The 26,121-nt window shown below is 37.9% G+C and overlaps 1 protein-coding gene across 1 annotated transcript in view; it reads right to left on the bottom strand.

The window, feature by feature from the left end:
- RARB (retinoic acid receptor beta) overlaps window positions 1-26,121 on the bottom strand; it is a 768,612-nt gene that overhangs the window by 538,055 nt on the left and 204,436 nt on the right. The window lies entirely within an intron of this gene.

Genomic DNA, 26,121 nt, shown 5'->3' with positions numbered 1-26,121 from the left:
CACAGGAATTCTAAGATGCTACCGTATTTACCAACCTAAGACTACATTTCTCATCAGAGATTATAGCAAACTCTGATTTGGGGGGACAAAGAATCCTCGGCCCTGATTTTGCTTGCTTTTTTTTAAATAGGAGGTTTTGTTGCTGTTCCCCTTCTATTACTCGTATTCTCTTGTAATTTGTTCATTTGCTTTTGTAAACAGCATCACCTTGAACTTTGTCTCCACAATGCTCATATCCTAGAAGCTCCCATTTCCTCTAAATTTGATTTTGTTTCTAGTTTTATTTTTAAAGCAGCATCACAAATCTTAAAGCATCATTAAATACGTATTCTAATTTCACATGAAATACAAAGTACAGAACATGGTTTTTTAGTCATTTTATGACTACTAAAATGACAGAAGTTAAAAATAAAAACAAGTACCAAGTAAAAGTGAGGTATGGTGAGAGTGGACATATTTCCAGCTAGTGGAAGTGTATATCGGTATGGTTTTTTTCTGGGGGATATTTTTCATCATATATCCAAAGCCTCAGGAGTTTAACAAAGCAATTTTACTTTTAGGAGTGTGCCCTGAGGAAATAATTAAAAGCAAGGAAATAGATAGGCATCCAAGTATTTATAAAAATGAAAAACTGGAAACGAATGTACATAAATAGTGGCTTAGGTTAACTCAACTGAGATGCAACAATGTAATTAAATACTATGCAGCCACTAAAATTATATTATAGAAAATGTAAAATATCATGGGAAAATTCTCACTCCAAAATGTGGAAAATGATTGTAAAATAATGTGTATAGTTAGATTTCTTGTACTAATGCACATGTATAAATATTTATGCATGTGTTAGAAAGTGACTGGGATACTGGCCAAGGCATTAATACTGGTTATCTCTTGGTGGTAGAATTATGGGTAAAATTTTTTTTGGAATTTTTTTGTAACTTTCAAGTTTTCTACATTGATTGCATATTTTATTACCATAAGAATTATTTAGGAGCTATAAATTACAAATATAAAAATTTTCAAATGTCTAGATTATATTCACTCATAGGGACCTGTCAAATCTATATAGAACCAATCATTTTAATAATTCAAAAATCATGTCATTTTAATGGAATCCAATAACAAATTTTTGATCAATTGCATAATCAATTGGTTGGTTTTTGTTTTTATAGGAGAAAATTAAATTAGTAATAGTGAACAATAAAGAAAATAATACAATTAGATCATCTACCCCACTCATGCCCCTCTTATTCTGTGTCTTAGGACACTGGATTTTTTTAATTTCAAAGATTTTATTTTAATAAGTTGTAATAACTGTACTTATTTGCTTTTTACTTGGTTTTGGAGATGCCCATCAAAGCTTCATGAGGGCATGGATTATATCTTACTGGTTGATTTAGTACAGATTTCACATTTGTTCAATGGCCAGAGATAAAAGGACAGAACTGTGTAAGTTTTATACAATTTTAAAACCAAAAGTCATTAGATTGGTCAGTTCCTTTAACCTATAAAGACCCTTTTGTGGCAAAATGTTCCCTGAATTTCACCACTTGGAGTTTATACAACCCAACCACACAAAAGCAAAGCATACTATATCAACATCCAGGATAATTATGAAAATCAAGACCATTAATCTTTATGACTGAGGGAAAGTTAACCTTCTTTACCTATACTGCCATTAATTAATTTTATGCCTTTAAAAGATTACATCTGATAAATCAGCTATAATCACAACTTTGAACTCCAAACATAATTAACCAAATGGCAACTCAGTGCCATTTAGGTGAAAGTTAATGGACAGGAAGTTTATGCTCTAAAGTCAATTTTTATAACCTAAGCAAAGTGGAAGTGCAGTACATAATTCAATATTGGTTTGGGCAGCATCAAGAGGGGAATAGTTTAATTCAGGAAAAATAATCAAATACAATGATAATTGTTCAGAAGTATATCTTTGTACCACAATTCTATATACATCATTTTTATTTAAGTAATAATTCAATTTCTGTAAGAGCTCTTTTAGAAGACTTTATTGGTCAAGTTCTGAATACATTTTCGATGGTAAAAAAAAATTCAATTTATTTTAAAATGATAGTTTAGCTTTCTCAATCATTTGGAATAGTCTTCTTCTAGTAAGTCTGAATGAATAAGGACTCATCATATTCTTAAAATAAAAAAGCAAGCATGAGTATAAATCAAAAGCCAAGAAACTGAAACAAAAGAAGTCCTTTTCATTTTTCCTTTGAAGCTGTTCTCATCCCATAGGGTCCACAAATGAGTAAGTCTTTCCTATGCCAAGTCTTTCAAAGCAAAAATTGGATTCAAAGTTACTCAATTAGCTGGCAAGTTCAGTCAGTGAGGCAAGCCAACATAGATTAATTGAAGCTTTATTTTTCTATCTATTTTTGCTTATGATTTCCCTAAGAGATTAGGAATTTAAAATTCAGCCTCAAGGACAAGTATTTTGTTTTGAATTTTAAGTGTGGAAAAACGGCCAGAATAGTGAAACCCAACTCTTATTCTCAAATATAATTTGAAAAATTATGGAGATAATCACAAGTCCCTTAATGATGGAGCATCTTACCTTAAAGTCATAATGGGAACACAAGAATGCTTATTGCAAAAGAATCCTAAGTTTCTATTCCTGACTGGCTTATGACTGCCAACACGGGCTGGTTTGTGGGTTCAATGCAATAAGCATGGAAGATTCAGCAGAAATACTTATACTCTTTAAATAAAACAGTGGGACTATTTAGGCTCAGCCCATAAGCTTCAAGACTGAAAGCTCAGACTTTGAGTTATCTACCTGATTATGGATGATGAATCATGGCAGAAATCCCAAGGAACATGGGAAACATACTGGGGAGTGCCACCATGAAATACAACTTCTGAACATCTAACAATGAAGGCTCATACACTAACCATATGGTTTACTTCAAGGCTTAGTCATTAGTGCTACAGTCAATCAATTTACACAGACTTTAGCGAGTCACTCGTCATTAAGGAATTTTTTCTCTAATGATTCTAAGGAGGGGCAAAGGAAGAATTGTATCAAGATAGTTTGTCTTTAAGAGACAACATTATATTTTGCTGAATAATTAAAAGAATTCTATCCTCTCAAAATGGTGATGGCAAAACTCTCAGCCAAAATAAGGGTTGAATTATCTTATCATATATACAGGTATGTATATCATATGATACATTGAGATACATACAAGTATATAAATTGGGTATCTATTGGGTATATACTAAAGAATTCATTATAATGAAACTGCTACTAAGAGGATCTATTGCTCTGGGACAGAGTCCCAACTTTTAAAACATGTGGCAAGAATCCAGTAGATTTAAGCACTCTTCTCCTTTTATATTTGCTTTCTGTATTCTAGAAAGTTTTCTGTAATTGTCCAAACAATATTTATGCACATATTAAGGTCATTTATTTTAGACAGTCAATGTTGCAAACTGATAGGCTACTGGGCAAATTATGTTCACAAAATATACTTTTGAGCCAGTATTCTTCAAGATTGAATTTTATTGCTTTTAGATGGGAATCTCTGTGGCTTTCCAGAAGCTTTTCCCTCCCCTGATGTGCTACACCCAGCCATTTGGAAGCTTTCTCTCACTAAGGTTATCTGTTTGGCCTCTGAAGGCAGCTGAGATGGCTACCCTGCTTCTGATTTGTTTTCCTAATTTAGGCTGCCTAGTTTGTGTTGATTCTCTTTGACCAGCCTGTTACCAGCAGGAAATAGATCTCTTGACCCCCTGAAACCTCTCCCTGCACATTGGGCTTTGAAACAAGATGACACTAAGAGTTGGGCATGTTTCCCGGCAGGGTAATAGGGAGTTCTTTACTGTTGGGACAGATTGGTTAGATTAAACTCTGTTCCCACAGCATTTAACGATAATCATGGAGTAGCTAACATGACTGGTGTGGCAGATGCTGTCAGAGCACTGCCCACATGTCCCCAGATCCCTTTACCATCTTAGAACATGGCAGCTCCCCATGTACTTTCACTCCCAACAGCCAGCACCTGTGACTCTTTTTGGAGGCTTGCTGCATAGAGGAGGTTTAAATACACCAGCTTCCTGGTTTCTGGTTGTGATGATTCCGGGGTATGCCCTACCCTAATTCCAGAGCCTCTGAGCAGGATCAAACCGAAGTTACTCTCTATGTAACTACGCTTGCTACTGTCCCTTTATTGGCCTCCTCTTTCTAGTCCCACTCCTCCCCAATTCCTCCTAATAACTTTTCCCCCAATCTTCATCACAAGATCTATTTTCTGGAGAAAGCTACTTAAGACAGCTAGTTTCCCAAATTTGTAAAGAGTAAGGATAATGGGTAGCCAACTCTTCCAGAGACCCTGTAGTTTCCATAAAACAAAGTATTATAACTCAAGCTGGAACTTGTGCAAATTATATGTACCATCTCTGTATATATATTGTACTTTCAATTCTTAAGGGCCCTCAGTGCATAAATCAGTTAGACAATGATGCTTGTTGTTGACAGCAGAATTATTCATCAAATACATTCATGGTACTTGGCAGGTACTCCATGACAAGCCAAATTTGCAATCATATTCAAAAATATCTGCCGCTGTCAATGAACTATAGGATACCTCACAAGGTCAGCTTCATCTTCTCTTTTAATTTACCAAATGACAGGATTAATTTACAAATACAAATCCCAAACCGTGACATGGTTGTGTATTTTAAATTTTGAATAATATTTCTGAAACTTTGGCTTTTAATTTGTTACTCTTGAGAATTGCTTTTGAGCAAAAGCAGAATGGAATAAATGCTAATGATATACAAGTCCCTGGTTTCTGAAACCGGTGTCACAATTTTCTAATACACGAAGTATTTAGAGACTGATGAGACAGTACATTATATCTACATGGTAATTTAGTTCAGAATTCACAATTATTTTATTTTCAGTATTAATTGCTTTTGTCTCTCAATAAATGACTCTGTAGGAAGTGGAATTCAATTTCATTCATTTTCAATAATCGAGATTGCTTTGAACTAGCTCAATAACTCTCAGCTCCTCTTGGCCTTCAATATATTGCTAGTGGTAGCACATAAATAATCTGGGTTTTCTTTTCAGATTCCAAAGCAGGGTTGTCTGGCCTTTGGCAAAACAGCTAGGTAGACACAGTTTGTGCTCCACAGTTTGTGCTCCATTTTCCAGCTCTTTTGCTATGCTCTACTCAGCATCCACAGTTTCCCTGCATCTCAGGTTTCTCCTGCTCCCCCTTTCCCCTCAGGGGCAAGTGCTAGGAAATATTTATATACACACTGTTGAGAGTCAGCCTTTCTGACTTCACTCATCCTGTGCCTTCTGTCTGAAGTAGCTTTCTGCCTTTCAAATCCAGATATACAAAGTGAGATCATGGTTCACACCAAACACCACCATCTCCACAGCTCTCCTGCGGACCTCCCCAGGTAGAAGAGGACATTCAGCTCCCTCAGGACTTCTCTGTATCTCTCCTATGCTTCTTCATCTCCCTACACTGATTTAGAGGCATTCACATGGCTCCCCCAACTAGTACACAATCAATTTCTTAAGGGTGTGAATAACAAGCCATTCATCTATTTATTTCACGTAGTGCTTAGCCAACTTCCCTGTCAAAAAAACATCTGAATGAATAAACCAATGGATAATTAGTGTATGCACATTTGGTTTAAAAGAGGCTTGTCTATGAGTCTACATTTTAGACACATAAAACTACTTCTTTCAACACAAGTCTCACTAACTCACCTCAGAGCCTTTGTTTATTCATAGGTTTTAGCTTTGATCAAGCTGTACTGGAACTGTGTCCACATGGACTCCCCACTCAACCCCCATGAAACCAAGAACTCCTCAAGAGCAAGGACAATGACCTGCGCCAGGCCCAGAGTAGGAGCACAAGCCATATCTGTAGGATGAATGGGATTACAATGCCCTGTGATTTCATATGTTCCTTTCCAAAGATACATTTCAAAAGATGAGTACAGGCAGGGCAGTTAATGGACCACTGCATTTGAGGTCAGATTCTTAGGTCAGCAAGGAAGAGAGATGATAGCCTTCCTCATAAACCCTAACCTTGCTCCAGTTCCGTAACTGATTTGGGTACTCTACAGAAACTCTACAGAAATTTTTTCACCTAACATTCAAAGCAAAGTGATTTCCAAAAGCACTAACCTATCAGAACTCCATCAACATTTATGGAACACATGGGCTATATTTATTGGCCTGAGTGTTCTTTGTATTTGTTTGCAAGCCACTTTCAAAAGTGTTGTAACTGTTTTCCTCCACAGCTTACAGATGCCTAGAGGAAAGGACATCTGACTTTTTTAAACCAAAGTTCAAAGTTCCGGCTGGAATGGCAATGCAAACTTTGCATTTGTGTTTTAGGAACTGCCGCCAAGGATTCAATTCATTTCAACTCAATAAACATCTACTATGGACCTGCTAAGCAAAGGAAACTGCTTTTGGATTAAGGATGTGTCAGATATAAACGGAACCCAATTCTTACCCCTAGGAAAGCTTGCAGTCTTGTGAGAGAAAAAGACAGGTAGGTGACCATGTATGATACAAGGCAGAGGCTGGAAGTTGCAGCAGATTTTCTTAAGAATAAGTTGTTTAATGTGATTGTATGAAGGGATAAAGTTAATTACCACCATCAAACCTTGTCATAAGCCACACTCCCTTGTAGTCCAGGGGTGCTGCTATTTACTAGGTTAATTACGTCGCTTCAATTGCTTAAAAACTATAATCTCTCCCCCTCAGCCTACTCCACTTCTTTTCCCCTTTCCTTAAGGATACTTTCCAATTTTCAATGTTTCAATTAATTTTCACTCTGAACTCACATCTCAACTAAATTGGAATGCTCCAAACTATAAACATGCTATTAAAAGTTGGGTCCAGGTAACCTAGAGGAAGGACAATCTCATTGCTTCTGCCAAATTGCCTTCTTTCTCAGCATCTCACAATCTAGAATCTTTTTTTTTTTTCTATGACTTTTTTACCTCTCACTTGTGACCCCACTTTTACTACTCCTGGCTTCTCTTCTCTCGTCATACCCAAGAAGTCACATACGTATTTCTAGATGGAGAACACAAAACTACCTCTGGTGTAAGGGAAGAATGCTTTAGGATAAAGATAAGAGAATATGATTGTTAAATTGCAATCTACTTTACTATTTTCACCTGAAGAACTTCCTGCATGCACTAACCTTCAGGAAAATACTTTCAATTATAATCTAACCAACTTTTCCATGCTGCTATGTGGTTCTCCATTTAGTCCGTCTAAAAGAGTTAAGACATTTCCTACCCTATTTTAGTTTTTTCTTGTACATTTGTCATAAAACAGGAAAATATATCTACTTACATTTAAATTTTAAATGAAGAAAAAACAATTTTTAGTACAGTATGCCCCAATTATTGCATGGGATTTACTTACACTAAAATGTATTTTTTTATATACAATTCAAATTTACTTTGGTGTCCTATATTTTTATTTGTTAAAGCTAGCAATTGTACTTCTCTGTATCTCAAAATTGAGTTTCAATGAATCTGTAATAGAATTTGGGAGGCAGTTAGGTGTGATGGTCAACAGTAGAGGCTTGGGAATCACATACACAATGGGATGCATCCTCTCTGTCACATATTGTGATAATAAGGGCTTTAAGCAAATATTCTTGTGCTCTTCTCCTCAGGATGGATGTAAGTTACATACCACCTCCTCTGTCCAGTTTAAGTTAGGTGTAGGCCAATTAGCTTTGGCCAGTGAAATGGGTATGAGGACCTTTTCCCATTTTCTTCCCTTAGTGCTCACAAAAGCATATACCGAGATGGAGCCTCCATTAGCCTGGGTCCCTGAGTATCCACAATCAACAAAACATCTTATACTGTGCCTGTAGCATGAGTGTCAAATATATTTGGGAGGTAGAGAGAGGGTTAGAGAAATTGGTAGGATAACATAGCTTTTGTGAGAAAGTCTTTTCACACAGAATCCATTTCTCACCATTTTTGTACCTGTTTCTTTCACAGTCCATTTAAGATGCTTCCTCCCTTCAAGCATAGAAGTAGTTTCTCATCTGCATAAATTCTTAGCTTGGCCATGTTCTCTCCTCTATCATACCCCTTTCTCTCTGTACTTATGATAGCTTATCTTGCATTATTTTGTTTATATGCTTGTCTCATGGTCTTTTCTGAACTGTAACTTTCTTGATCTATCTATCATCTAATAGCTCACTGTTCCTAATGAATAATAGTATCTTTAAAAATATTGATTAAATTGAATGTGTAGTCTTATTTTTATACATGTAGGTAACGAAGCTCTATTAACAATAAAACTTTTTCCTTTACTAATTCAAAGATATACCGCTTGATCTTTGCAAATAATCTTATTCTCCTCTCTTCTATTTTTATGCACATAGGATTCAATGAGGCTGGATTCTACTTTGGTTTTTAGGCATAAAGCATCTTTAGACAGTTCTTTGAAAGTACTTAGAAGCTTCTTTTTTCTTTCTTTCCTTATAATCCTCAGGTCAGGGCCTATCTTAACGCTGGAAACACTCCCTTTCTCCTACAATAACAAATATAACATTCACAACAACAATTACACGTTTCTATTCCTCCCCCATACATGTATTACTTTATCTGTGTCTTAATATCCTTGACAGGTGATTTAAACTCTGCTTTATCTCAACACCTGCTTTTCCTCTGTGATAATCAGACATTTTCACTTACAATTCTACTCCTTCCTTTTCTGTGGCTTCAGAAAAGGAAACCCTATTCTACTTGTGTTAAACATGGCATATCAAAGATACACATTTCTCTCTACCTCCTCCCAGAAGCCATAAATCCACACAGTTAAAGAGAGTGAGAGATGAGACAACAGTAAATGAATGATGTCAAATTTTTAGAAGCTGGAAAGCATATGGGAGACTTGGTGCACCAGAAAGAATTAAAACATTAAACTCTGTTGAGTTGAAGAGGAGTGGATGGTCAACAAGAAGCAAGTTCATTTATATGACAGAAATAAATGTCTTCCTAGTATATGGCATTTTCATATGTAAGCAATATTTGCATATTCATAAGTGTTGAATATTGATTAATTATGATATAACTATATTGGAGAATGGGGGAGGAAGAATGAGCACACAAATGTGACATGAAAGAGTTAAATCTTTTTCTATAATTGGATGCCAGGAAATGACTAAAATGAATTTTTAAAAGTGTAACAAGGAATTTGGAAATATTGGAATGAAATACAAGAAACTTGCTAAAAAGCTGAAAATGATTGCCTCAGGAGAGAAGGAATCAGTGGTGGAAAAGGGTGGAGTAGTGTTAAAAGCCTTATAGAACTATTTGACTTCGTAAAGTGAATACACATAATACTTTTTCTCGAAAATCAAATCACTTCACTCGTGTGTAAAAGGATGAGAGTTAATTTTTTTTTTTAAATCATGAGCCTTTTGAGAAGTAAAGATTTAATTAGAAGTATTATGGTTCTTATCTTTGGGATTGATCCTTGGGTAAAATACTGACCATTTCATGATGACTTTGGTCATAAGGTGATGCAGTGTGTCTTATCTGCTTGAAAGCAGCTCACCTTGACATAGTAAATGTGCCCTCTAGACTCTTTCCACAGCCACAGCCTGGGAGTCAAGGAGAAGCACAGATTTTTAGGTTTGACCGTTGCATAGTCATTTCAATATACAATCTTCTGTGTTGTCACACAAAACTCCAAGCCCAGAAACTTGTCACATTCATACAAGCTTGGCATATGCTTTTCCACGTTTCCAAAATACCCTTCCTCACCCACCTAGAAAACTCAGCCTTTAAAATCCGGATTAAATACCCTTTCCTTCTATTAAACTTTTCCTCCCAAAATTGTTAATAGTATCATCTTCCTAGGTGTAATAGTGCTCACCACATCACTAACAACAAACTACCCGTCTACGTGTCTTTCCCTTTACTAGACTTTGAGGTCCATGAGAGAACTATATTTTGCTTTTTATTCACAATGCCAAAAATACGTATCAAACAAATAAACAGTTTCAGTACACTGGGCAGTTTCAAGTGATTAACTGAAATGCTGATGAAATTTGCAGGGAATCATCCATAGTTAACACATCAGTTTGGATTAGTTGTATCTTCAAACAAATGTGAAGATGCTGAGCTAAAATAATATCCTTAATTTTTTAATTTTATTTTTTCATGTATTCTCTTTATATCGCTATTCAGAAGTCTGACACCAATAGGATGCTTTAATTTTTAACACTACATAAAAAGCATGTGGTATAGACATATACATCTACAGAGGTAAAATATTCAAAGTGTGCATTCCTGCCTTTATGAATCTCACAGCCTATTCCAGTAAGTCTCCCACCCTTTTCATGACAAGGACCTCAACTGGAAAAAGAATAGTCAAAGTGATGTAAATAAGCAAGGATAATTTGCCAGGCAAAAGCATACATATTCTACCATATTCAATGCTGAAATTCCTAGAACCCTAAATCGATACTTGGCAAACTTTTGACAATTCTGAGTCAAGTCACGTGAATGCTAGAGTCTGTAGGAGCAGAAGACAAATTTCTTCAGATTTGGCAGAGGGACCTTTTTCTTGATGAGCTTCAGCCTGCCTTTTGAAGCCTATTTCCTTTCTCCCAGTTCCTTAGTTCTTCCACAGGCATCCCTAAAATGTCTCACTGCTTCTATTGAGATACTTCGACCTAGCCTAATCCACAAAACTTCTCCAAATCAGCTGAAAACTATGGTTCATCTTTCTGTATCAGGGGCAATTATATAATTTACTGAAATAAAATTAAAAGTGGTCTTGGAGCTGGGCGCGGTGGCTCACGCCTGTAAGCCCAGCACTCTGGGAGGCCGAGGCAGGTGGATCACAAGGTCAGGAGATCGAGACCATCCTGGCTAACACGGTGAAACCCCGTCTCTACTAAAAATACAAAAAGTTAGCCGGGCACAGTGGCGGGCGCTAGTCCCAGCTACTGGGGAGGCTGAGGCAGGAGAATGGCGAGAACCCGGGAGGCGGAGCTTGCAGTGAGCCGAGATCGCGCCACTGCACTCCAGCCTGGGCAACAGAGCGAGACTCCGTCTCAAAAAAAAAAAAAAAAAAAAAGTGGGCTTAATTTCTTTCTCTGCAGAAATATGCCGTTTTTAATCCCCTAAAATTATGGAAGTGTGGCCAGATGAACCCTAGCAATCAGATAAAGACCAAAGAAATCTGAAATTAAGTGCTTTTGGCCAGAGAAACCACTAATTTTCTGCCATCACAAAAAGTAATCAGTATACACAGAATGTCCCAGAAATGTAGACACAATTATAAATATTTTTAGAAAACAACTTGAGTGAAGATGTATAAGCAAACCTGTATAATGAAATAAGCCCTTGACAGAATAATATACTCCTTCAAAACAGGACAACATTTTGCATTTATTAACATGTATTCATATAGGAAAGTTGTGTGTACTTAATTAAGATATCATATATTGGATGGGGGTCAGAAGAGTGCTTTACACAAAACATAAATCAAGGTATAGCTATTTAGATCAACCAAGTAGGAAATCCAGATTGGTAACTTAGATGGCCCAAATCACCAAGTTAACCATTTTTCAATCCAGTGCTTTTCACTAAGTAGATAATATATATACTAAATGAAGAGATGAAATGAGCAATTATCCTGTGTATGAGTCTGTTCTCAAACTGCCAATAAAGACATACCTGAGAATGGGTAATTTACATAAAAAAGAGGTTTATAGTGGACTCACAGTTCAGCATGGCTGGAGAGGCCTCACAATTATGGCAGAAGGCAAAAAAGAAGCAAAGGCACATCTTACATGGCGGCAGGTGAGAGAGCTTGTGCAGGGGAACTCCCATTTATGAAACCATCAGATCTCATGAGACTTATTCACTACCATGAGAACTGTGTAGGAGAAACCACCCCCATGATTCAATTATCTCTACTTTGTCCTGCCCTTTACAGGTGGGGATTATTACAATTCAAGGTGTGAGATTTGGGTGGGGACACAGAAAACCATATCATCCTGCTGCTCTGTACAAGCAAAACCACCTGCATAATTCAGGTGAGAAATGCAGATAGACAGTATGGTACAGTGGGAAGACTAGGTGTTGGAATTCAAAGGACTTAGGTTCAAATTTGTTGAGCCTCTCTGTTTACTTATTTGCAAAAACAGGGAAAACAAAAGACCTACTGTATTGAGTGATTGAGAGAGAGCACTTAGCATAGGCTAAATAGATAGTGGTGATTACTCCAAAATATGCTACTGCCCTTCATTTCCCCATGTACACAATGGCCTCTAGTTACTATGCAACACCGTGTTCCTTGACATTTGCTATGACATCCAATATAGTAGATGTAGAGTCTGAGTGAATCCTTTAAAAACTCCTTTTCTTTTTCACAGGTTTCTTTTACATAAACATTTTTTTTAATGAATCCCCCAGCTTTTCCTTATGGATTGTGCCCCTGACCTAATTACATAAGTACCTGATGGGCTGGAACGCTTCCAAAAGGGCCTCTTAGGAAAAACAATCTGAAGGGTTTTTTTCTCTTTCTTTTGTAATTACATAATTACTCAGCTGACTAATATGAGTCACCATTTGCCATTCTAATCTCCCAGGCACAAAATAGTTTTATTATTTTCCTTGGAATTACCTAATTACCCAATGGATAGCAATAACTCCTGGGCTCTTTTCTGTAAGTAATCTGTAAAGCTCAAGACAAATTCCTCCAGAAGTCTTTGCAAATGGAAGAGAATTTAGAATAATATTATCATTTGCCACATGAGACACTGGAGCTCTTAGTGACAAGGGTGGTCCAATGATACACCACAAATAAATTTGAAGAAAAATTTAAGACTCTGGGCACAGGATAAAATATAGAGGCACATTCTCCCTGCTATGTTCTAGGAAATAAGTGTTCCTGAGCCAAAACAGCAGTGGCTGAGTGCACATCTCTTAAAAAATTAGCAAGCACTCCCAACACACGTGTATTAACTTATAAATTATATGCACCTACTATAGTTTACTCATATATTAACTATTAGTCAAGCTTAATATTTTAATAAAATCTACTAACTAATATAAATTATCAATTATAGGCCAGGAGTGGTGGTTCATGCCTGTAATGCCAGCATTTTGGGAGGCCGAGGTGGGAGGATCACTTGAGGACAGGAGTTTGAAACCAGCCTGACCAACATGGTGAAACCCCGTCTCTATCAAAAAATACAAAAATTAGCTGAGCATGGTGGTGTGTGCCTGCAATCCCAGCTACTCAGGGAGGCTAAGGTGGGAGAATCACTTGAACCCAGGAGTAGAGGCTGCAGTGAGCCAAGATCACACCACTGCTCTCCAGCCTGGGTGACAGAGTGAGACCCTGTCTCAAAAATAAAAAAATTATAATATTTTTTATACCCCAATAGAAGCCTAGGATATCTTGTCTTAAAGAGTGCTGCCTTCCAGAATATCAAAGTCTTCAATAGATCTTAAAATTGCTCTATGAATGACCTGTAGTTTCTCAGTCTCTATTCACTTAGGGAATAACTTAGGAGACTGACTATTTTGATCCTTTTCTGCAGTTTTTCAAAGGCATATGCAAGAAAATTACACAAGCCTTTGAGCTTATCAGTCTACCCCAGCATATTTTCTAGGGGGTGCTCAGGCCAACAGGCCCAGCGGTTTTTTTCTCCATGCCTTTCTTGACCTCATTTTCTTTCCCTAATTTCCCATTCAACCCCAGAAATGGTGGGTTTGCAAAAGCCTCTTTCTGATCTAGGACCAAAAGAGCCGGGCAGACTACATGATTTACAAAGCCAACATGTTGGCCTATGCCCTGGGTATGACAGATTTCTAATAAAAAGGAACATATTTATCCAAGCTATTGAAAAGCCAGGTCTAATGAATATTAAATCTGATCAAACCATTTTCCTATGTATAATAAAATACTAAGTCATGTTGTGATTTAACTGTATTTACAACTGTCCTCTTTAGTTTACATTCATTAAAACATTTTAAGAAAAAGGCTACATTAAATTTTATTTTGGAACTAATAAAAATATTAAACCTTAAGAAGTTCTGAAGCTTTGCTAAGGCAGCTGAACTTAATATGCTTGTAATTTCCCTAAGTAACAGATTCAATTCCTTAACAATGAATTTTGTATTCCACAGACTCATAGCTTACATTTTTTAAAAGGTTCATGAGGCATTAGAAAATATAAATCTGAAAAAAACTGTTCAGTCATGTCTCATTGTTCTGGTACACAAACCAACTCACACACTGTAGTAGAAGTAGCAACACTGAAGTCGTTTTGACAGTTGAACACAAACAGAGGCCCCAAACAATGAACACACAGAAACAGGACACTCCTCTGGAGGGAGGGAGCTCTGGCTTTGAATGTCAGGAAGGGAGCCAACAGGCTGTCCATTTACTTAAACCTCTCAGATACAAAGAGTTACCTCGCTTTCTCTCTCGGAAGGGCCTCCTGATAAACCCCCCTCCTGTCTCACTGCAGAACCCCAGTCTTCCTCAACTCTGTTAATTAGGGGAGAGAAGAAAGGGAGAGGGAAACCAGAAAGCTCACTGACCTATCTATAAATGCACAACATTTCGGTCTCTCCTCCTGGCTCAGAGGTTTAAGACTCTCCTTTCTCCATCAAACACCCAGGAAAGTTGCTTTTGCAAGAAGGCACTGTACTTTTGCTATTCCAGCTGTTAGGCCAGTCATTTCCTAGAAACAGACCTGACATCTTCCGCTCCTCTCAAACCTCCTGATGCCACTGAAATAACCAAACTAAACTTTTTAGGTTTTCGAAACTTGTCTTTCAGAAGTCATTGGTCATAGTCCATTCCTCCAAGTAGAACAAAAAAATGCCGGGAGGACTTTGATTGTAAGGTTCATGATTCCCCCTTCAAACTATAAACTGTCAGATATAAACAGGGCATTCACTGAGAACAATGGAGATTAATAAAGAGAGACAGGACTGCTGTCTGGGGGAAAGAATGGTTCAAAGATTCCAGTACTGGCCTTCTATAGTCAGTTGGCTATTTTATCCTGTAGGTCCTAATGCTGCTAGGAAGAAGTTCTATTTGGTTGTGGAATCTTTCAGTAATATTAGAAAGATACTTACTTAAATTAACTATTCATTCCATCTACAAAAAGTTGAATATCTTCCATTTTCCAGACAGTATTTGCAGGGAACAAGAGAGACACATTCATTTACTTCCCTAGAAATATTTCAAGTATTTATTATAAGCCAGGCATGTGCCGGCCATGTACCACGACTCCTAGCACATGGAACCTTGAACACCAATCCCAGGCTGATTACTACGACAAGGTCTGATAAGTGAGAACTCGAGGATTTGTTTTTTTTAGCCCTAAATATATATAAAAATAGACTTCCTTCTTTCCTTCCTTTCTTCCTCTCAACAATTTAACACATATTAATGAAGGGTCTGGATACATTTGGTAGAGTGCTAGGCGCTGAAGATACAACAGTAGGCAGACTCAGATACAGTTCCTGCCTGTCATTTTAAAAAGTTGACACAAGGCCAATTTCTCATGTTTTGCCCAGCTAGGGAATAAGATATTAATGTCAGAATCACACATACATCAAATGTTGCAGCTGTCATTAGTCCTTGAAGGTGAGAAAGGAAAATGTGAGGCATTTAACATAATTTTGTTCAAAAAAGAGGGAAGAGTCTATTAAGAATTGACTAAAAGGGTTTTGCTGTTTAAAATTCTTCCCTGAACTTGTTTACCTTCTGTTGATTCATTTTCATTTACTTTGAAGGTAGTATCAGTGGACTGAAACTCTAATTAAAAAAAAAATGGGAAAACCTGAGAGGTCTGCAGAGCCTCAATCCACCAGTCAGGAGGACTTGCACTCCATATCCACACACACATGCTTTCTATTAAAACCATTGAGAGGTACTTCTGAATAGCATCAACCACACATTTCCTCAATGAGCCACGAAATAAAGTGCTATTAATTCTCACCAATATTCATGAAATGATTGCTTTTTATTGCATATGTCTAACCTCCTACCATGGTCCTGAAGTTTTCTATCCTTTTCTGAACTATCGGTGACTTCGGCATCTTAGGGAGCATGCTGAGTGGTCACGTAAATGCTTAAGGGTACCTTTGCTTATAATGTTTAATATGCTACTCAGATAAAAATCATCTTGATATAATTATAAATAGTATCCTTTAAAAAAAACCCTGTAACGCCTACTTTATCTTTTCTCTCCCTGAACTCCATGGGAGGAATAAGCTATCTTTCTAGAGAAAAACATTCTTTCTTTTTGAATCTATTAATACATCAGTCCAAATTTTTCCTTCTTAAAATTCCAAGTCCTGTTGAAAGAGGTTTAAAATAAAAGAAATAAAATAAAAACACATTACATTTCACATCCCCTCTGACCATTCTCAGGTTACAAGCCTCTGAAGTGTGCTTGGCCTGTTGCCGGTGTATTTATTACTATTAATAAATGAGTCACTGGTGTAAGAATGCAAATTTTATGTGGCCCACGTATAAATGAGTCTGTTAAGAATGGCCAGATACACATTTTATGTGACTGCTAAATAATTATGTCATAGAAATACAGCTTGTGAATCCAACATTAAAAAAGAAATGGATTCCAATAATGTTAGAATGAGTGTCAAAACATGGTTTTGATGAGTTATGACTATTAAAAAAAGATGAAAGAGAAAGTGATCAGGTTCTAGGGAGAGCAACATGGAAGCTTAAGCTTACTACAAGAGCCTTTTACACAACACCCTCTGACGGTCGCTCCCCTGCCTCACGCCATTACATCATGAAGGCACATCCAATTCACAAAACTGCTCTTATGCTTTCAGCATTTTCGTCTGTGAAGACAAGTACTGGATGAAGGATATCTGAAGCTTTGTACAGAGCCACAAAACCCTGACATCAGAGCTGAGAAAATTATAAAAGGAGAGAGTAGAAAAGTGGTTGTCAGGGGCTGGAGGGGTAGAGGAAATGGGGATATATTGGTCAAGGGGTACCAAGTTTCAGTTATGAAGGATAAGTTCAACTTAAAAGAATTGAAAAACTTATCACAGATAATAGGAACTTGGAAGTGAACAGACAGGATGCTGGAGCTCACATTCACATTGACATGGACATTCAATAACTACACAGTGGATTACATCGTTATAAGTGTGTTAAGTATTATTCAGTGCCCATCAAGTGGCACAAACCAGAGCTCACCAAAGTGACATTTCCATATCAAGCTGTCCCATCCCATCAGAAGCCTGAATGTTAATTTAATATCATATCTCTAATCTGAAGATGAACCAACAGCTTCAGATAACAAGGAAAGACCCAGATCAGATGGCTGAAGAGAAAGTCATGAGCAGACACTAAGTATTCTGCAGAGCAAAGGACTGTGGAACCAAAACATTACTGGGTGTTAAAGCACTTAGAGCATTCTGGAACATTTTAGTGAGACAATAGTCTTGGCTCTGGACACAGTTTCAGAAGTTAATCTACATTCCTAATGCCTTGAATAACACCACTGAAATAAACACTGTGCTTTCATATCTGTTTAATTAGTAGACCTGTTGATGAACAAGTAGAGTTTGGGAGATTTGTTCAGCCATACAAAATTTTAAAAATAGTAAAAATAGCTACGGTTTACAATCAGTTTGTAAATAAACAACCAGATATCCAGCTTTTTTAGAAAAATGGTAAGGTCTGATAATATTTCCATATTAGCATCAGTCAGCAGGAGCACAGTGGCATCTGGCTTTCAAGATGGGGATGTGCTGCCTATGTTACCACAGTCCCTTCCACTCCCGATGTTATTACACCTGGGGCCAGGGGACCTTCTCTCATTGATTGTTTGCACCCTGCCCTGGGGACAGCGGATTTGTGATATCAAGCTTTAACTGCAACATCAATTCAGTCCTTCCTTTTCAGTATTTTACATTCTCATGTTCCATGGATGCTATATTACCACCTCCACTTAAATTTAATTAATTCTGAATTAATAAAATTCAGAATTTCATTAATTCTGAATTTGTGACAGTTCCAACTCCATTCTCAATTATTTATATATTTATGCATTCAATAATGTTTTAATTATTTTATACTAGTTGGCATTAGGGGAGGAAAAATAAATGTATAAGGCACAATCTGTGTTCTTAAGAACCCCTGAATCTAAGAGAGGAATTTAGAGTTGAGGATAAGAGCAGTGATTAAAAAAAAACATTCTTAGCTGGAGAATTATGTGTTATCTCATCAATTTTGATCCATGTATTGTAGAAGGACATGGCAAGACTTTTTTTTTTTTTTCCCAAATGTCCTCCCTCTCAACTATGTTCCCTAATGTCTTCCTCCACCTCCGTCCACTAAGGATGTCAGACCAGTTATTGCAGTTAGGGGAAAAGACAGAATATTTATTTGAAAGTCAGATCTACAGACCTTGTTCTATGAACTTTCCAAGTAAAAATTCTTAAAGATGGATTCGAATATTTAAATATTAAACGGCAACCTTGAAAAAAACTTGTGAATCATATGTATCAGTAGAAAAATTCATCAAATATAGAACTTTAGTGCTGGAAAAGACACTTCTTTTTACAGGTAGGAAATTTAGGGTGGTAAGTGACATCCCCCAGGCCTTGGAAACAGTAAGTAATAGCCAGAACATAATCTCAGGTTAAGCATCTCCAGACACTTTTGTTATTAAATATGGAATGGCAGTAAAGACCATGTGATAATCCCTCTGCCCACCATTTTAAGTTGTAAGAAGAAAGCAAAATGTGTAATAAAATTTTAATCATTCCATACATTCAGTAGATACTTTTGTAGTACCTTCTTTATGGCAGAGACTGTGGTGGATTTCCGTTGATACAGCATGAATGATGCAACCAAAAACTTTTGCCCTCAAAGAGTTCACATTCCAGCAATGAGCTGACTTTGAATCATTCAGGCTTATAGGACTCGAGACAGACCTTAGACCAGGCAGCCTATCCACCTCCTAGGACTATTTTGACTATCTAGTGAGACAATGGCTAAGGAAAACGCTTTGTAATTAACATAAAATGTTCTACAAAGTTTGGTTGTGAATTATTATTTTTTTGAGACAGAGTCTCACTGTCACCCAGGCTGAAGCACAGTGGTGTGATACTGGCTCACTGCAATCTCCGCCTCCCAGGTTCAAGCAATTCTTCTGCCTCAGTCTCCTGAGTAGCTTCTGCCTCAGTCTCCCGAGCAGGACAATAGGCATGCACCACCATGCCTGGATAATTTTTGTATTTTTAGTAGAGATGAGGTTTCACCATGTTGGCCAGGCTGGTCTCGAACTTCTGTCCTCAAGCGATCTGCCGACCTAGGCCTCCCAAAGTGCTGAGATCACAGGTGTAACCCACTGTGCCTGGCCTGGTTGTGAATTCTAATATATCAAGGACCAATCCAGCTCATTTGAACAATCATAATGTAAAAGAAACCATAGTAATGGATTCCACCCTCCTATGAACCACCTATGAATATTTCCATTGGCTTCCCCTTAACCCAAATCAGATGCAAGCTTGTTGAAAGAATGGCAACTACATTGACTATATAAAAAAGGCCAAGTGCAAAACTGAATAGCAGGTCTCCTTTCCATCACTATAGAAACATACAAACTAAATAATTTGTTCCCCAAAGAGCTTCACTTTGCACTTCATTTCGTCTCTGTTGACGGAATTTTTTTCACTGCTCCCACAATAACATTTCAGACCAGAAAATAAAAATGTACATGCAACCCACATTACCATGAATGCCCCTGGCCTGGCCAGCAGAGCTCACCTTCAGGATATCAGGAGAATGTCACCATTAAGTTGACTTTCCCCAGCTAACATCTCTCTTTTGTTTAGCTAAGTAAAACTCTCTTCTGAGGACAGTTACCTCTCCTTCACTTTCTATCCCAACCCACAAGACAATTTTGTCTTCTACCCAGCCACGAATGATTTATCAAGTTGCCCATGGGCCACGTCTAATTTTCTGCAAAATCTATGCAACAATTCTCCACTTTCCTCACCTCTCTTAAAGAGATCTCTATGCCCACAGTTGACAGCTCTTCACACTGGGGACTTCTAACAGGAATGGGAATCCAAAATAATCTTTGGTGCCCAAAGTTCTACCTCCAAATTTATTACAATAAAAGAGGCAAAGAAAAAAGCTTCTTGTCCTTTAGATCTCAACTTTCATCCCCAAATGGTTTATTAGCTTTTTCATTATTTTTAATAATGTACAATTTTAACAACATAATCCACAGTGTGATCGGTTATGCCCATGCCCCACTCGAATGTGAACTCTAGGATCATACCTATCTCCTCACTACCGTGGCCCTATTTCCTAATTCTTGGGACATTTGAGATACTTAAGTATTTGTTGAATTAAAATTACTAGTAAGTTACTGAACACATCATTTGAACCGTAAACTTCTTACCAAGCTTTCCCAGAACAACATTTTTCACCATCAGAATTAAAAGGCTTTACTGATCTGCCCCACCACTGTCTTATTTAATGCATAGCTTATTTTCCACTGAGGTTTGGTCTTAACAACAATCGTTTTCTGCTACTACAGCAGGACTCAACATTCTTAGCTTCCCACTTCGCCTCTGCCTCACCCTTCTTTGTTTCATACGTATCCCTCTAATCAAATGCAGAGTGTATGAAATAGGATATGTGATCACATTAGCACAGCTTTATTTTGATGTATTTTTGTCAAGCCTGTACAGACAAGTGGAAAGAGAAGTGAAACAGAAGCTGGGAAAATACTGCCAGAAATTATGTCAACAAATAACTTCAGAGTTTACTTTCCCATTAGTTCTAAACCGTTTAAGCAAAGTAGCTGCTCCTCTGTCTATAGGTCAAAGCCTGAACCTGAATTAAGGGTAAAAAGGCAAAGCAAATCCCTAATAGAACACATTTCATACCATGGTCTCAGAGATTAGATTTCTATTTTTACTTAAAACAACAGAGGTTTATGCCTCCTTGTCTTTTCAAATCATACCCAGAGGTTGGCAATAAGGCTCCAGGTGGTAGTTAATAAATCTCAAGTAATGTATCGATCACTCTTCATGCTTTTTCTATTGTTCTTAAAACATAAGAACTGTCTCATTATGTTAAGAAAAAAAGGACAAGTTTCCACACTTAAATGCCAACCAAGGAAAGAAATCCCTGGGAAGCTAATAATGAAACAAAGGTGGTTTTCTTCAGCAGAACTGTGTGTGCTAAATTGCACTTTTATGTGATTTTTAGGGCAATTTGCCACTTTCTTGGCACCACTTCATCACCTTCCTTCAGCAACAAAGAAAAAAAGGAGGGCCACAATGACCTATATATTACAGCTCTAACAATGTGTGGGGGTCAGTCTCTCCAAGTTTATGAGTCAGATTTAATAATAGATATTCTATTTTCTTAAGTTAGAGAAACTCAAGGGTACATACTCATTCCCCCAGACTTTACTGCTCCTCCCAGTTTATCCATTAGACAATTTTTTTCATCTTTAAATGTCATGAACAGCAGTGTTTCCATTGCATTCATTACATATTATGATTTATATGTTATACACAACTTCATTTTTACATGAATTTCTTGACTTCCTAAGAGGTTCAATTTACCAAGTATCTATCAAATTCCTTCATCACAAAAATGGGGAAACTGAGGCCCAGAGATGTAATATGACTTGCCTTCACTTACAGACCATCCATGCTAAAGGATTAACTGGCTGTTAGGGTAGGCTATGCTTTAAAGTGGGCATGACAGTTAATAGCTAAGTGATATTGGAGAGGTTTATAAGCAATTTGAGCCTCATTTTCTCCATGTCTAAATGGGAAAATAACTAGCTTGCCAAGTTGTTACTTATCATGGCTAGGGGGTTTAAACATGACAATTTCTCTCCTGGAATATTACTCTTTTTCTCTCTTCTGGTTTTCTCTCTTTCTCCCTTTCACATCTTATGCCAAATTTCCATCTTTCCTGGAAGTCTTTGCAGATCCTTCAAGCTAAGGTCCCCAACACAAAGGACACCTTGTACTTCCCTGTTGTAAGTTCATCACAGTGGTGATTAAACAATGTGTAGGGAATTTGCTCTCAACTTCACTATATATAAGCTCTATGAGGGCAGCAATTCTGTCTTTATCTCTGTACACTTGCTCTTCAGCTTGCTTTCTCTCCCTCTCCCCTAGCCCTTGGTAGGTGCTCCACAAATACTTGCTAAATGAGCACCACAGTACCTATTCAATAGATGAAAGTCCCAGTCCTTGTTGTTGAGCCAAGTGACACATACTTAGTTCCTTTCACTCTCCTAGGTCAATCCATTCACCTCCTTAAAAATTACTTAGTTTCTGTGTAGGGATAGCAGCTTCCTGGTGTCTGAGGTTTTATCTCTCATTGCAGTGTGAACAAAACAGTCAGGGAAAAGTCACTTCTGTGCTTAGCTCTTTTGGCAAAACAAACCTCCCTCCTCCCTCCACCCCATGTTTGCCCTGAATTTGACTTCACCACAGTCTACATTAAGAAGAACAGCGACTAAAACTTCTTTGAAACTTTATTCGCCATGGCCAACAGGAAAAAAAAAAAAAAGCTGGTGAAATTCCTTTAAAACGTGCTTTAATCTAGCTGGAATGCCATAAATTGCTTCCAGATGTGCACGATACAAAAGTCAATCAGAGCTATTTATACTGACACTCTACAGTCCAAACAATCTGAAGCCAAATGCCATGTCTCCGCTTCAACGAAGCTATAAATGTCAGTTTTGTTGAATTTGGAAAGGTGTTGAAGAGTTCATGCAAGTTTGAGTTCTTGACTCTTTTGGAACCAGCAGTAATTTTGACAGGAGGGAAATAAAACCATCACACATACAAACTTTTGTAAATCCCTATCCTCACTGAGCACACCTGACACCTCTCATGCATGACCTTGAAAGTACCATAGGTTAGAAGAAAAAACTCAATTCTGTAAAACAGAAGAATGTAGCTCTGGGACAAGGTGCCAAAGAAACCCAGAGAATCTGGCCAGATCCCCCCTCCCCACCCTGAATGCAAACAAGCACACTTAGGAGTTAGTTGGCTGCATGGCTTGTAGTGATGCCTTTTCGACATCCTAACCAGACCATTGCTCTCCGAAGCAGCCCTACAAACAAAGATAACTCAGATTGTTGGCACCACACTCAGGTACTGGTGTGGGCACAAAGCCTGAGGTCCAGGTGGCCAGTTCTGGGGTTTCATCACTTAGAGACATTTGTTGTCCCTTTCCACTGGAATAATCTTCAAGCTTGTGTTTTTATCTCATTCTGCATCACATTTCCAGTGTTGGCACACAGTAGGCCATCAATAAATAATGCTGAAAAAAAATGAAGACTTAAAGGAAAAGATGGTCTATTAGTCTAGTTGTTTCTTTTCCGGCATGTAATTAATAGAGGTAAATTCAGAGTAAAAATGCTATACATTTTTACGGTAGAATGGAGAGGGTTTGGGATTTGGCGCTACAGACATATGGCTTCAAATTCTAACCTCAGGTACTGATTAGTGGTATGGCTTTGTGAGAGTTTCATAACAGCTCTGACCCTCAGTTCTGTCCACAGCAGAGGGAGCTAAAGATGTCTATCTCATACAACTGCCGCAAGGAGGTTCTTGTTTCATAGTAGGCCTTTGGTATTCGTTCCCTTATTTTTGTCCCCCTGGCTGGGGATTTCAAGTGTTTAAAAAACATAAAAAGCCAGAAATAACTCAAATTTGGAGGCAGAAATAAAAAAAATAAATACTTGTCTTTTCATTCACAGCGTGGCATAGTACTTGGGTTAAACTACATGAAATTTCCAATATTTAAAAACAGCAATTTCCTACAGTTCTGCCTGCTATGAAGGGTCTCGTGAAGGACCATGTCACAACATCTGTGGCCCTCCATGGCAGTTCACCATTTAGTTACCGAGTGTATAACCACCTCAGTTGTGGCAGTCACTGAGGCTCACAGCAGGTGGGTGTAGACCAGTGGTTCACAAACTACAGCCTATAAGCCAAATCCAGCCATTGCCTGTTTTTACAAAGTTTTACTGGAACACAGCCACACCCATTCTTTTCCATATATTCTTTGGCTACTTGCATACTACAAGGGCAGAGCTGAGTCATTGCAATAGAGATGGTAGGGTACACAAAGCTGAAACTAAATTATTTACTATCTGGCCTTTTGTAGAAAAAAGTCTGCTGGCTGCTGTACAGACACATAGTTTAGGTGAAGCAACATCAATATGAGTTTGGGCTCTCAAGTTCTAAGAGATTCTATTTTTCTGTACCTGAATGTTGGCTGCATCACTTCCTTCAATGTATCTCAGATATATTCCTTAACTTCTTTAATCTCAGTTTTTTTATCCACATGATGGAATAGCTACCTTGAGAGAAAAAAAAAAAAAAAAAAAAAAAAAAGGCTGGACGCAGCGGCTCACAACTGTAATTCCAGCACTTTGGGAGACTGAGCATGTCAGATTGCTTGAGCTACGGAGTTGGAGACCAGCCTGGGCAACATGGCGAAACCCTGTCTCTATAGAAAATACAAAAATTATCCAGGGTTGGTGGCATGTGCTTGTAGTCCCAGCTACGTGGGAGGCTGAGGTGGGAGGATTGCTTGAATGCAGGAGTCTGAGGCTATAGTGAGCCAAGATGGTGTCACTGCACTGCAGCCCGAGTGATAGAGTAAGACCCTGTCTCAAATAACAAACAAAAAAATGCAGTTAACAGTACCTGACATGTGATAAGGGTTAAATAAATTGAAACAGCTTTTTCATTACGATCCTAACCTATTAATATTTCTTTACTTATTAGAAATATCATATCACATGTGGAATGATAAATGGCAAGGCATGTGCAGCCTTCGTGTCAATGGACAATTCACAGTGGTGGAGACAGTGGCAATCAGAAGAGCACTTTGTGTAAAGTGAGCAGCTGCCACTGAGCTCCAGCTGCAGTTGCCACATGGAAATGGCACTCCAATGTTTCCAGGTCTTCTGAATTTCCAAGAGACACTGGAAGTGTGGATACTTACACAAAATCTCCCATTTTTAAGGGTTGATAATTGATTAAAAATGTTTCAAATCATTCGTTCTGTGAGCCAAAACATTGTATGTAGGCTTGTGTTTTTTACTGATGTTTGGCTAAGTCAAAGAGTGTCACAAGGAGGAAAGGAGGGAAGAGCTTTTTGTATCTGGCATAGAAGATGGCAGATGTTTGTGTTGGAATTGACCTAAAATAGCTTTGTTGAGCCATAAAAACCAGTTTTGTTGAAGGTTTACTCTTTGCACATCTACTTTTGTAACACTGAGCTATTAAATATGCAGCCATCTTCTTCTGCCTAGAGAAATCACTGTCTATACACTTTTCCATCTATCCACTCGTTCAAGCCTTTATTTGCACCTACTATGAGAAAGACATTGCATTTTTAAGCTAAATGGAGAAACATCCTTTAAGTCACAATGCTCTGGTCCTCTCGACACACAACTGAGAGATCTGAAATATATCCAGGCAGCTATTCTTTTTTTCTTGTGACAAGGTCTCCCTGTGCGGCCCAGGCTGGAGTGCAGTGGTGCGATCTTGACTCACTGCAAACTCCACCTCCCAGGTTCAAGCGATTCTCCCGCCTTAGCCTCCTGAGTAGCCGGGATTACAGGCATACGCCACCACATCCAGCTAATTTTTGTATTTTTAGTAGAGACGGGGTTTCACCATGTTGGCCAGACTGGTCCAAACAGCTATTCTTGACTCCCATTGTGAGCGCAGGAGCAGAGGCTCAAAAACACCCTCAGAGCAACACAGGCTCAGCCAAGAGTGACTAGATCCTACGGCTTAAGAAAAACAAGGATTTCTAAAATCAGTCACCTGATTTTAGTAGAGACATACATTTTACCAACATTTAAAGCATCTACTTTCAACTATTCATGAGGAGAAAAGGTCTGGGAGAACAACACCCATGTACGTTCTTGAATATACGTTTGTCGGTAATGTAAGCTAGGAGATTTAAGCTAACAAATATTTATTACGGTATTTTCTACTGTGCCAACTTGCCTAGGCTGAAATTTGTTTCCAAGAATCCCCTTC

This window comes from Homo sapiens, chromosome 3, assembly GCF_000001405.40.
Source record: "Homo sapiens chromosome 3, GRCh38.p14 Primary Assembly".
NCBI classification, from domain to species: Eukaryota; Metazoa; Chordata; class Mammalia; order Primates; family Hominidae; genus Homo; species Homo sapiens.
This window is presented reverse-complemented; position numbering and strand designations above follow the sequence as displayed.